General features: G+C 45.5%; 1 protein-coding gene across 1 annotated transcript in view, besides 1 other annotated feature; it reads right to left on the reverse strand.

Moving 5' to 3' along the window:
* The window catches only part of CS (citrate synthase), a 28,632-nt gene that overhangs the window by 11,361 nt on the left and 4,319 nt on the right, over positions 1-12,952 (reverse strand). The window contains exons 2-4 of the mRNA NM_004077.3: positions 3,536-3,586; positions 2,857-2,964; positions 733-798 (exon numbers count right to left, since the gene is read on the reverse strand). Of these exons, the coding sequence (NP_004068.2) occupies positions 733-798; positions 2,857-2,964; positions 3,536-3,586 (225 nt within the window). The remainder of the gene's footprint in view (positions 1-732; positions 799-2,856; positions 2,965-3,535; positions 3,587-12,952) is intronic.
* Positions 333-502: an enhancer, noted in NCBI's record as "experimental_29678 CRE fragment used in MPRA reporter constructs". NCBI's record gives its function as "activates a minimal promoter by MPRAs in K562 erythroleukemia cells, with activity observed for both the introgressed and non-introgressed 12:56677261 variant alleles {active_cell/tissue: K562}" and the evidence as "EXISTENCE:reporter gene assay evidence [ECO:0000049][PMID:34662402]".

The raw sequence follows: 12,952 nt of genomic DNA on the forward strand, positions 1-12,952 counted from the left end.
ATCAGACCTTACAACAAGTTAGAGTAGAACTTTTTATGTTAATTATTATTTCTGTAGAGGTGGGGTCTTGCTATGTTGCTCAGACTGGTCCCGATCTTCTGGCCTCACGCAATGCTCCACCTTGGCCTCCAAAAGTGCTAGGATTACAGGGGCAAGCCATCATGCCTAGCCCAGAATACAATTTTTAATTTTCTTTTTTTTTGAGACGGAGTCTCACACTGTCGCCCAGGCTGGAGTGCAGTGGTGCGATCTCGGCTCACTGCAAACTCCGCCTCCTGGGTTCACGCCATTCTCCTGCCTCAGCCTCCCGAGTAGCTGGGACTACAGGTGCCTGCCACCATGCCCGGCTAATTTTGTGTGTTTTTAGTACAGACAGGGTTTCGCCGTGTTAGCCAGGACGGTCTCAACCTCCTGACCGCATGATCTGCCCGCCTCAGCCTCCCAAAGTGCTGGGATTACAGGTGTGAGCCACTGCGCCCAGTCCAGAACAGAACTTTAAATTAAGCTTAAATCTTCACATAACTTACCTCTGGTTTTGTACTTTTATTTTTACTAGTTGATATATTTAAAAGGTAAATTTGTTCTTCAATTATTCCATACATATGTCTTCTCTACCTTCCAATATATGAAGCTAGGTGCTCTGTTTTGTGCTTACCCTTACTGGTCTAATCCACGGTTTGCGTATTTGCACAAACTCAATGATTATTAGTAATTGACATGAAGATGTCTTACCTCATCAGGATCAAGAACTGATGTTTCATAGACCAATCCCTTCATGCCTCTCATGCCACCATACATCTAAAGAGGATGAAGAAAGAAGGAAAAAAAAAAGAGGCTGTGGCCAGTAATCAGAATGATTCAGACTAGAACTTGTTAGAGCTTCATGGGATCTGGGAGAGAAAATTTATTCTCAGACTTGTAAGACTTCATTTGGTGAGAGATGTCTGAGGAGTCAGCTTACTAAAGAATTAAACTTTGTGGCCAGGCACAGTGGCTGACACCTGTAATCCCAGCACTTTGGGAAGCCGAGGCAGGTGGATCACCTGAGGTCAGGAGTTTGAGACCAGCCTGGCCAACAGGGTGAAACCATGTCTCTACTAAAAATTAAAAAATTAGCGGGCATGGTGTATGTGCCTGTAATCCCAGCTACTTGGGAGGCTGAGGCAGGAGAATCGCTTGAACCCAGAAGGCAGAGATTGCAGTGAGCCAAGATCACACCATTGCACTTCAGCCTGGGTGACAAGAGCAAAACTCCATCTCAAAAAAAAAAAAAAAAAAGAAAAAAAAAAACAAACTTTGTGGCCAGGTACGGTGGGGCTCATGCCTGTAATCCCAGCACTTTGGGAGGCTGAGGAGGAGGGAAGATCACTAAGCCTCTCACAGAGTCTGTCACTCAGGCTGCAGCACAGTGGCACAATCACGGCTTACTGCAGCCTTGACTTGCAGGCTCAGGTGATCCACCCACTTCAGCCTCCTGAGTAGCTGGGATTATAGGCACGTGCCACCATGTCTGGCTAATTTTTGTATTTCTTTTTTTTTTTTTTAAAGAAATGGGGTTTAGGCCGGGTGCAGTGGCTCACGCCTGTAATCCCAGCACTTTGGGAGGCCAAGGCGGGCAGATCACGACGTCAGGATATCGAGACATCCTGGCCAACATGGTGAAACCCTGTCTCTACTAAAAATACAAAAATCAGCTGGGCGTGGTGGTGCGGGCCTGTAATCCCAGCTACTCAGGAGGCTGAGGCAGAAGAATCGCTTGAACCCGGGAGGCGGAGGTTGTAGTGAGCCGAGATCACGTCACTGTACTCCAGCCTGGTGACTCAGTGAGACTCCGTCCCAAAAAAAAAAAAAAAAACAGGGTTTTGCCAGCCATGTTGCCAAGGCTGATCTTTTTTTTTTTCCCCCCAGATGGAGTCTCACTCTTGCCCAGGCTGGAGTGCAATGGTGCAATCTCAGCTCACTGCAACCTCTGCCTCCTGGGTTTAAGTGATTCTCCTGCCTCAGGCTCCTGAGTAGCTGGGATTACAGTTGCCTGCCACCATGCCCAGCTAATTTTTATATTTTTTAGTAGAGACGGAGTTTTACCATGTTGGCCAGGCTGGTCTCGAACTCCTGACCTCAGATGAGCCACCCGCCTCAGCCTCCCAAAGTGCTGGGATTACAGGCATGAGCCACTGCAACAGGCCTGGAAATGAAATTTTTTAAGTTGAGAAATCACTATCTTTCTTTTTGTTTGTTTTGGAGATAGGGTCTCCCTCTGTTGCCCAGGCTATACTACAGTGGCATAATCATGGCTCACTGCAGCCCTGAACTCCTGGGCTCAAGCAATCCTCCTGCCTTTGCCTCCCCAGTAGCTGGGACTACAGGGGCATCCCACCATCTCTGGCTAATTTTTTAAATTTTTCTTTCATAGAGATTGTATCTTCCTTTGTTGATCAAGCTGGTTGTTAACTCCTGGCCTCAAGTGATTCTCCAACTGCAGCCTCCCAAAATGTTGGGATAATAGGCATGAGCCATTGCGCCCTCTGTTTGATTCCTTTTCTTATTGTATTTCACTTTTTTTCTCCTGCCCACTCAACCACTCCCCAACATACCCTACCCTCAAATTCCAACCAATCAAAACAAACAGAATGAGTTCTAGTCTAGGAGAAGGGGATGGAGACCAATAAGCTAAAAACTGTTGAGAAACTATCAGCTGAGCTGCTCAGAATCTGAAGGATGGGGAAAAGTCATCCTAAAGCTGTCCTACAGGGCCTATGGGACAGAATGCTTTTGAATAGTCAGTGGAGAGAATGTTACTTTTGTTGAAGCACATTACAGAGCTACTTTTCCCAGCCAAAGCCACACAACCCTTACCATGTCCACAGTGATTTGGCCCACCACCGTCTTGCCATGTTGCTGCCTGAAAGTCTTAATTCTGGCCTGCTCCTTAGGTATCAGGTCAGCCAATATGTCTTTCAAATTCTAAAAAGAAAAGTAGAAGGACTAAGCAATGGTCTAAAAGTTTATTAGATTTCCTGCAAAGTAGGTGTGTCAAGAATTTGCTTTTTAGAAGCTGGCTTTATCTGCCAGGGAAGTCTGGTCAACTACTCTGCACAAATGAGGGTAAAAGAATTAGGCAGGGGGAAGAAGGAATGAGGAGTTAATGTTTAATGGGAACAGTTTCTCGGTTTGGGCAGACAAAAGTTCTGGAGATGGATGGTTGCACAATAATGTAAACATATCTACTGCCACTAAACCATATACTTAAAAATGATTAAAATGGTAAATTTTATGTTATGTATATTTTACACTACTTAAAACATTTAAAAGAATTAGGCAAATGTATTGATATTCCCATCTCACTATACCACTGAGTAAATTATTTGTTAAATAGTAATATAATAATAATAGCAGCTATAACAATAACAATAGTAACAAACACTTCCAGGAAATACTCAGGATAATAAGAGGCCAGGTGGTTGCCAAATCCTCTGCCCCAAGGTCAGGCTGGCCGCAATGATTCTTATTCTTAGTCTTCTTTTCCAAACCTTACCGTGGAGGAAGCACTGGCATGCCGGGCTGCAAGAACAAGACAAGATGCATTCTGCAAAGCAAAAAAGAGAACCTTATGTAACTGTTACCCCTCCCTCTTTTATATTAACAAGAAGGAATTACAGTGACTCAACCTCTCTCTCTTCATCTCAGTCTCTTAGGGCAGTTTGACATAAGAAAGCTGTAAAAGTCCCCAAACAGTTTGGAAGGAGTTACCACTATGGAGACAGCAGGAGGTTTAACTGCTTTTTTTCATCCATAGCTTCACTAGCATTCCTTGAAGACAGACTCTTTCCCATCATCTGGGCTCCAGAGCAGGGCGGTTATCAATATTTTTGAGTGACCCCAAGGAAAACAAATGAGGAAACTGAGCAATTACTTAACACTGCTGGTAAGATCTCTCCTGCACCTGGTCTTTCGACAGCACTTCAACCTCTCTAATCTGGGAAAGACCACAGGCAGAGGGCAGCCTTTCATAACGGTACTTCTGACCCTCCTGGAAAAAGCACAAAGATTATCTACAAAGAAGCTGACAGAAGACTACTCATTAGCAGAAATGGAAACTTGCAAAGTTTCTAAGAGTGTCAAAAGAAAATAATTAGTTTGGCTGGGCGCGGTGGCTCATGCCTGTAATCCCAGCACTTTGGGAAGCTGAGGCGGTGGATCACCTGAGGTCAGGAGTTCAAGACCAGCCTGGCCAACATGGTGAAACCCTTCTCTACTAAAAATACAAAAATTAGCCAGGCGTGGTATGGGCAGGCAGCTGTAATCCCAGCTACTCAGGAGACTGAGGTGGGAGAATGGCTTAAACCTTGGAGGCAGAGGTTGCAGTGAGCCAAGATTGTGCCACTGCACTCCAGCCTGGGCAAATGAGCAAGACTCTGTCAAAAAAAAAAAAAAAAAAAAAAAAAAAAAAAGAGAGAGAGAGAAAATAGTTTAGCTAGTTTATGCTTTTCTGTGTGTACAGGTAGTTTCTTTTTTCCTCAAATAAAAAATACATCTGTGAGAAGATTGTTAAGTTGCAATAAAAGTTCCACACCAACTTTGTGAGTTTTCTTTTTCCTTTTCTTTATTTTTTTTGAGACAGTTTCACTCTTGTTGCCCAGACTGGAGTGCAATGGCACAATCTCAGCTCACCGCAACCTCAGCCTTCTGGATTCAAGTGATTCTCCTGCCTTAGCCTCCTGAGTAGCTGGGATTACAGGCATGCACCACCATGCTTGGCTAATTTTTTTTGTATTTTTAGTAGAGACGGGGTTTCACCATGTTGGCCACGCTGGTCTCAAACTCCTGACCTCAGGTGATCTGCCTGCCTCGGCCTCTCAAAGCACTGGGATTACAGGCGTAAGCCACCATGCCAGGCCATACACCAACTTTGAAATAAGATGACCAATCAGGTTACTAACTAGGAATACGGCCTGAGGCAAGGAAATTAATTTTTCTGTACTAGATTTTGAAAACAAATTGAGATAATCAAATTAAGCCTAAGTTTCCTGCTCTATAAAATGGCTCTAATACTCACCACACACCTCACAGAATAGTCCCATGATAACTAAATTACAGTGGATATAAAAGTGCTTTGCAGACTTAGAAGATTACACACAGAAATAAACTAATCCTGGAGCAAGGCTGCACCTGTCCTTTTGTCAAAAGACCAGAGGCACCTTTTCTAGTAACTACTGCACTGCTCTCTGTGCAAAAAATTGCTACCTGCCTGGGGTGAGAGTTCTATAGGGCTGAAGGCTTTTTAGAATTTTTTTTTTTTTTTTTTTTTTTGAGATGGAGTCTCATTCTGTCGCCCAGGCTGAAGTGCAGTGGCGTGATCTCTGGCTCCCGTGTTCAAGTGATTCTCATGCCTCAGCCTCCTGAGTAGCTGGGATTATAGGCACACGCCACCATGCTTGGCTAATTTTTGTATTTTCAGTAGAGACAGAGTTTCATCATGTTGTCCAGGCTGGTCTCAAACTCCTGACATCTGGTGATACGCCTACCTCGGCCTCCCAGATTTTTAGAATTTTTAAAATTTAGTTCCCCTATTTCTGTTGGGACGGAGAGGAGGAATGAAAAGAGGCCCTTCAGAAAGGTCACTCTTTCCCCCAGGCTGGAGTATAGTGGCATGTTAATAGCTCACTGTAGCCTTCAATTCCTGGGCTCAAGTGATACTTCCACCTCAGCCTCCTGAGTAGCCAGGATTACAGGCGCACATCACCAAGCCCAGCTAATTAAAAAAAAAAAAATTTTTTTTTGTAGAGATGGGGTCTTGCTCTGTTGCCCAGGCTGGCCTCGAGTGATCCTGGGCTCAAGTGATCCTCCATTTTCAGCCTCCCAAAGTGCTGGGATTACAGGTATGCACCACTGCACCCAGACAGAAAAGATTACTTTTAAAAGAATCAATCCAAAGGTAAATTCAGAGAGCATAGACCAAGCCAGTATGTTCCTAAAGCAAACGAGGAACACCTCAACTTGTTACCAGGGCTGTCCTTAACTCCTTTTCTTAACTTCCTCAAGAGTCTCCTCTATCTTACTGAGGATCACTTGAGCAAGAAAATAGGCAGCACAAACAGCCCTTCATAGCCCTTGCACCCTACATGGGCAAACAGGAAGCTGAACCCAGCACTGAAGATGTAACTTTGCCCTTTCTTTCACAAAAAAAGTGGGCAAAGAAAACATGTTAATAAGTTCAAACTATTGTTCTACAGAGTTAACCTTGTTCAAGCTATTCCATGGTTTAGAGTCCCACAGATTCCCTACTAGAGAGGCCCCATGTCCCAGAGACTACATCAGCCCAGCAGGAGACCTTTTAATTGAGGGTGGTTGTTTGCTGTGGTGATTTTTTTTTAAATTTAATTTAATTAATTTTTTTTTTTGAGACGGAGTCCCGCTATGTTACCCAGGCCGGAGTGCAGTGGTGCGATCTCAGCTCACTGCAAGCTCCACCTCCAAGGTTCAACACCATTCTCCTGCCTCAGGCTCCCAAGTAGCTGGGACTACAGGCACCCGCCACCACGCCTGGCTAATTTTTTGTATTTTAGTAGAGACAGGGTTTCACTGTGTTAGCCAGGATGGTCTCGATCTCCTGACCTCGTGATCTGCCCGCCTCGGCCTCCCAAAGTGCTGGGATTACAGGCGTGAGCCACCGCGCCCGGCCAGCTAATTTTATCTTTTAAACTTTTCTTATAGAGACGGGGGTCTTGCTATGTTGCCCCGGCTGGCTTTGAACTCCTGGGCTCAAGCGATCTTCCTACCTCAGTCTCCCACAGTGCTGAGATTACCGGCATGAGCCACTGCAACCAGCTGACTTTCTGTTTTGTTTTGTTTTGAGACCGAGTCTTGCTCTGTTGCCCAGGCTGAGTGCAGTGGCTTGATCTTGGCTCACTGCAACCTCCGCCTCCCAGGTTCAAGCGATTCTCCTGCCTCAGCCTCGCGAGTAGCCAGGACTACACGCACCCGCCACCATGCCCAGCTAATTTTTGTAGTTTTTTAGTAGAGACAGGGTTTCACCACGTTGGCCAGGCTGGTCTCAAACTCCTGACCTCAAATGATCCACTTGCCTCAGCCTCCCAAAGTGCTGGGATTACAGGTATGAGCCACAGTGCCCGGAAGATTTTATGTTTTTTTGTTTGTTTGTTTGTTTTTGAGAAGGAGTCTCACACTGTCACCCAGGCTGGAGTGCAATGGCACAATCTTAGCTCATTGCAACCTCCCTCTCCCAGGTTCACACTATTCTCCTGCCTCAGCCTCCTGAGTAGCTAAGATTACAGGTGCACACCAACACACCCGGCTAATTTTTTGTATTTTTAGTAGAGATGGGGTTTCACTATGTTGGCCAGACTGGTCTCGAACTTCTGACCTCGTGATCCACCACCTCGGCCTCCCAAAGTGCTGGGATTACAGGCGTGAGCCACCGCGCTCAGCCTGATAGCCACTTTCTAGCACCGTTCGGTGTCAGGTTCAGTCATGTTTTTTGCTAAACCTGAAGCTTAAAAAAAAAAAGTTATCAGAGGAATTTTAAAGGCAGCAATTCATTGGTAAGATTGCTCAAAAGGGTAGAGTAGAAAAAATTCAACTTAGGACAACTTTATCTAATGATGTAGAGTACAGAGCACTTAATTTGGAGTTAGGAAAGGAAGTCTGGGTTCTAGTCCTAGCTCCATTACTAATTAAGACAACCAAAGGAAAACAATGAACTACTATTTCTCTTCCCATTTCCATAATTAAGATAACACTTAAACTACTTAACTCAGAGTCTGATTCTCAGGTTCCAATAAGGACGTATATGCAAAAGTAGTCAAGTCTTGTTACTTAAAATGTGACCTCCTCGCCAGAAGTATTTACATTTCTTGGGCCTCAGACTTACTGAATCCAAACAGTTTAGATATGGAGTTACCAAGGACCAAGTCCTAAATGAACGTTCTGCCACCTTCCCACTGTGTTATCTTGGCTATGTAACCTAATTTCTAAGTCTCAGTTTTTACATTTCTAAAATGGTAATAATAAAAGCCAATTTCAGAGTAGTTAAGTAAACTAAATAAAATAATTTTCATAAAAGCATCTAGAACAGTGCTTTGTGCATAGCTGAATTCAGTAAATATTTGTTTCTTACAAATGTGTTGGCCTATCACCTACCATCAAGTGTCAGAACTTCCTGGGAGTTGGATCCCAGGAAAGAGGCAGTCAAGCCTGAGGCAGAGGTGAATGGATAATTCCTTCCAGCTGTGGAATACAAAATAAAGTCCCAATTTTCTTTCTTTCTTTCTTTCTTTTTTTTTTTTAACAGGCATCAAGGAAAAGATACCAGTTTTCTTTTTAAGGGCTTCTTGACCAAGAAGGGAGGCATCTCAGGGAGAGGAAACAAATTTAACTAACCCTGATGGCCACCAGCAGAGCAAATGACTCTAGACAGGAGGTGCTTGAGGACTGTAACATCAAAGGCTACATTTCATTTCCTCTACCCCGTGGCTGCCAAAGAAAGCTGCTGAATGGCTCTGAACAGTACATTCAGGTTATGTTCATTGATGAGACAGGTAGATTACAAACCTCTGAATCATCCCTGAACTTCTACCTCCCAGATTCTCCCCTAATCCTGGAGGTGTGACAGTTGGGCTTTTGGCTTCTGGATGCATGCCACCTGTAGAGTCACCTTACTGGAACAGCAGCTCTCAGGAGAATCAGGCAGTCATCTCACTCAATAGGTCAGCTCCTTCATGGGGAGAGATGGAGAGGGCTACTTCCAAAGACAAGGGCCTGGCTCACAATGTCTGACAGCCAGTATTCTCTATAGGGTGGAGGTGGCGTTATCACAATCACGAAGAGGTTTTTCCCCCACAATCACTAAGAGCTCATTTGTTGCCACCCCTTACAAGAACTCCTCTAGTGAGTCAGCTATTATTGATAGAGGTGGGCTGTAGCCCTCAAATGTGGTAAGATGAAAAAATATAAAAATTAAAAGAGGCCAGGTATGGTGACTCACACCTTCCTTTGTTCTCCTCTGCCTTTGCCTCTTTAAAAAAGTTCTAAGTTGCAGCTGGGCACTGTGGCTCAAGCCTGTAATCCCAGCACTTTGGGAGGCCAAGGCAGGCAGATCACGGGGTCAGGAGATCAAGACCATCCTGGCTAACATGGTGAAACCCCGTCTCTATTAAAAAATACAAAAAATTAGCCAGGTGTGGTGGCAGGTGCCTGTAGTCCCAGCTACTCGGGAGGCTGAGGCAGGAGAAGCTCCGGGAGGCAAAGCCTGCAGCGAGCCGAGATTGTGCCACTGCACTCCAGCCTGGCTGACAGAGCAAGACTTGGTCTAAAAAAAAAAAAAAAAAAGTTCTAAGTTGCTAGCCAATCAGGACAAATACAAAATGTGAGGTCCCATTCCAGCCAATGGAAACTGGAACTGGACACAGCAGTAGGGTGGATGCATCAGGGTATAAATGACCCTGTCTCCTTTGCTCGGTGTACTCTCGTGGCAAAACTGCTGGCGTGTACCCTTTCTGCAGAAAGTATAAAAATGGCCTTGATGGCCTGGCGCGGTGGCTCACGCCTGTAATCCCAGCACTTTGGGAGGCCAAGGCAGGCGGATCATGATGTCAGGAGATCGAGACCATCCTGGCTAACAGGGTGAAACCCCATCTCTACTAAAAAAATACAAAAAAAAAAAAAAAAAAAAAAAATTAGCCGGGCGTCATGGCGGGCGCCTGTAGTCCCAGCTACTCAGGAGGCTGAGGCAGGAGAATGGCGTGAACCTGGGAGGCAGAGCTTGCAGTGAGCCGAGTTCGCACCACTGCACTCCAGCCTGGGCGACAGAGTGAGACTCTGTCTCAAAAAAAAAGGCCTTGCTGAGTAAATTAAATTAAATTAATTAAATTTATGTTCAAGTGCTATTTCTTTACAGCACCAGGGAACAAGCATTTCAAACAGGAGGCTGAGGCAGAAGAATCGCTTGAACCCAGGTGGCTGAAGCTGCAGTGAGCTGAGATTGTGCTACTGCACTCCAGCCTGGGCAACAGAGGAGACTCTGTCTCAAAAAACAAAACAAAACAAAAAAAGCCCACTTACTCAATATAGGTTATTTTCCTCTTACTCCTTAGCCTATTACCATCACTGTTCCACATCTAGCACCCTCACCCTACAGTCAAGAAGCCAAATTTTCTTTGATTCTCCATCCTAGGTACATCCAGACTCTCTCTGTCCTTCTGCATATCCAGGATATGTCCTACCACATATCCACATAACCAACATTAAAACCTTGGGGGAGGCTGGGCGCAGTGGCTCATGCCTATAATCCCAGCATTTCTGAATTAAAAAGCAAGACTCTGTCTCTACAAAAAATAATTTAAAAAATTAGAAAACAGGCTGGACACGGTGGCTCACGCCTGTAATCCCAACACCTTGGGAGGCCAAGGTGGGTGGATCACCTGATGTCAGGAGTTCAAGACCAGCCTGGCCAACATGGTGACACCCCATCTCTACTAAAAATACAAAAATTAGCCAGGCGTGGTGGCACATGCCTATAGTCCCAGCTACTCGGGAGGCTGAGGCAGAATCGCCTGGACCTGGGAGACGGAGGTTGCAGTGAGCTGAGATTGCGCCATTGCACTCCAGCCTGGGTGACAGAGCAAGACTCCGTCTCAAAATAATAATACTAAAAAAAATTAGAAAACAAAACAGAAAAACCTTGCGGAAGAAGCTCCTGATTTTAACAGGGACTTCGTCCTTCATCAACAAAAGATCAGAGCTTGCCAAGCCAGCAGGACTGGCTTAGCTGATGGAGCAAACACAATACACTAATAACCAGTAGGAAAAAATCCTGTACTACAGACACTTCCAATGCAGAAGGAACAACTTGCATTCAGAGAACACGAACACAAATAGGACAAAGGCTCCTCTCTCCCCAGAACCAGGTCAGAGAACTAAAGCCATTTAATGTGTGTGTTTCACAACGGTGATACTGGAAGTCGGTTTGGCACTACATGGTCAGGCCACTTAAAAGCCTGAGCAATCTACAGATTTCATACTTTGACCTCCTTCATACTTACAGACATTTCCTTAATAATTCTACCTAACTGTCATTTTCCAACAGTCTCTTCACGTGAATAGTCACCGATCACTGCTGGGTGCAGTGGCTCATGCCTGTAATCCCAGCACTTTGGGAGGCCAAGGTAGGCCGATCACCTGAGGTGAGGGGTTCAAGACCAGTCTGGCCAAGATGGTGAAACCCTGTCTCTACTAAAAATGCAAAAATTAGTCGGGCACGGTGGCGCACACCTGTAATCTCAGCTAACCGGGAAGCTGAGAAAGGACAATTGCTTGAACCCAGGAGGCAGAGGTTGCAGTGAGCCGAGATCATGCCACTGTACTCCAGCCTGGGCGACAGAGCAAGACTCTGTCTCAAAAAAAAAAAAAAAAAAAAAAAAGATGCACTGATCACTCAGTAAGGAGGACTGCAAAAGATACTCCTCCAGCTTCCATCTTCAGAAAGGAATCACAAGTCTATTTTTGTTTTTTGAGACAGAGTCTCTGTCACCCAGGCTGGAGTGCAGTGGTGCGATCTCGGCTCACTGAAACCTCCACCCCCTGGGTTCAAGCGATTCTCCTGCCTCAGCCTCCCGAGTAGCTGGGATTATAGGTGCCTGCCACCATGCCCAGCCAGGAATCACAAGTATTAAACTTTCCTTTCAGTAGGAACACTTACTGTTCTTTTGTTGAGACGAGTCTCACTCTATTGCCCAGGCTGGAGTGCAGTGGCATGATCTCAGCTCACAGCAACCTCTGCCACCCGGATTCAAGTGATTCTTGTGCCTCAGCTTCCCTAGTAGCTGGGATTACAGGCAGCTGCCACGATTGGCTGATTTTTGTATTTTTAGTAGAGACAGGGTTTCACCATGTTGGCCAGGCTGGTCTCGAACTCCTGACCTCAAGTGATCTGCCCACCTCAGTCTCCCAAAGGGCTGGGATTACAGGCGTGAGCCACTGTGCCTGGCCAACACTTATTGTACTTTAATTTAATGAACTTTTTTTTTTTTTTTAAGAGACAAGGTCTTGCTATGTTGCCAGGCTGATCTCAAACTACTGGGCTCAAGTGATCCTCCTACCTCAGCCTCCCAAAGTGCTGGAATTATAGACATAAGCCATCATGCCTAGCTAATAAATATTTCTTGGCCGGGCACGGTGGCTCATGCCTGTAATCCCAGCATTTTGGGAGGCTGAGGCGGGTGGATCACGAGGTCAGGAGTTCAAGACCATCCTGGCCAACATGGTGAAACCCCATCTCTACTAAAAATACAAAAATTAGCCCGGCGTGGTGGCATGTGCCTGTAGTCCCAGCTACTAGGGAGGCTGAGGCAGGAGAATAGCTTGAACCCGGGAGGCAGAGGTTGCAGTGAGCCGAGATCACACCACTGCACTCCAGCCTGGGTGACAGAGCGAGACTCCATCTCAAGGAAAAAAAAAAAATTCTTGAACACCTACTTATTATGTGTACACTAAGTATATACTAGTGAATAAAGAATATAGGATCTGTCATCATAATACTTTCTCAGGAATTAGAAACTATTCCCTTACTTCTGCTAGAAGTTCGTAGAAGTTTTATGGCTGGGCGCGGCAGCTCACGCCTGTAATCCCAGCACTGTGGGAGGTGGAGGCGGGCGGATCACGAGGTCAGGAGATCGAGACCATCCTGGCTAACACGGTGAAACCCTGTCTCTACTAAAAATACAAAAAATTAGCGGGGCGAGGTGGTGGGCGCCTACAGTCCCAGCTACTCAGGAGGCTGAGGCAGGAGAATGGCGTGAACCCCAGAGGCGGATCTTGCAGTGAGCCGGGATCGAGCCACCGCACTCTAGCCTAGGCGACAGAGCGAAACTGTCTCAAAAAAAAAAAAAAAAAAAAAAAAAAAAAAGAAGTTCTTACAAGTTTTAACTCCCTGACA

The sequence above is a fragment of the Homo sapiens genome, chromosome 12, assembly GCF_000001405.40.
Source record: "Homo sapiens chromosome 12, GRCh38.p14 Primary Assembly".
Lineage (NCBI taxonomy): Eukaryota > Metazoa > Chordata > Mammalia > Primates > Hominidae > Homo > Homo sapiens.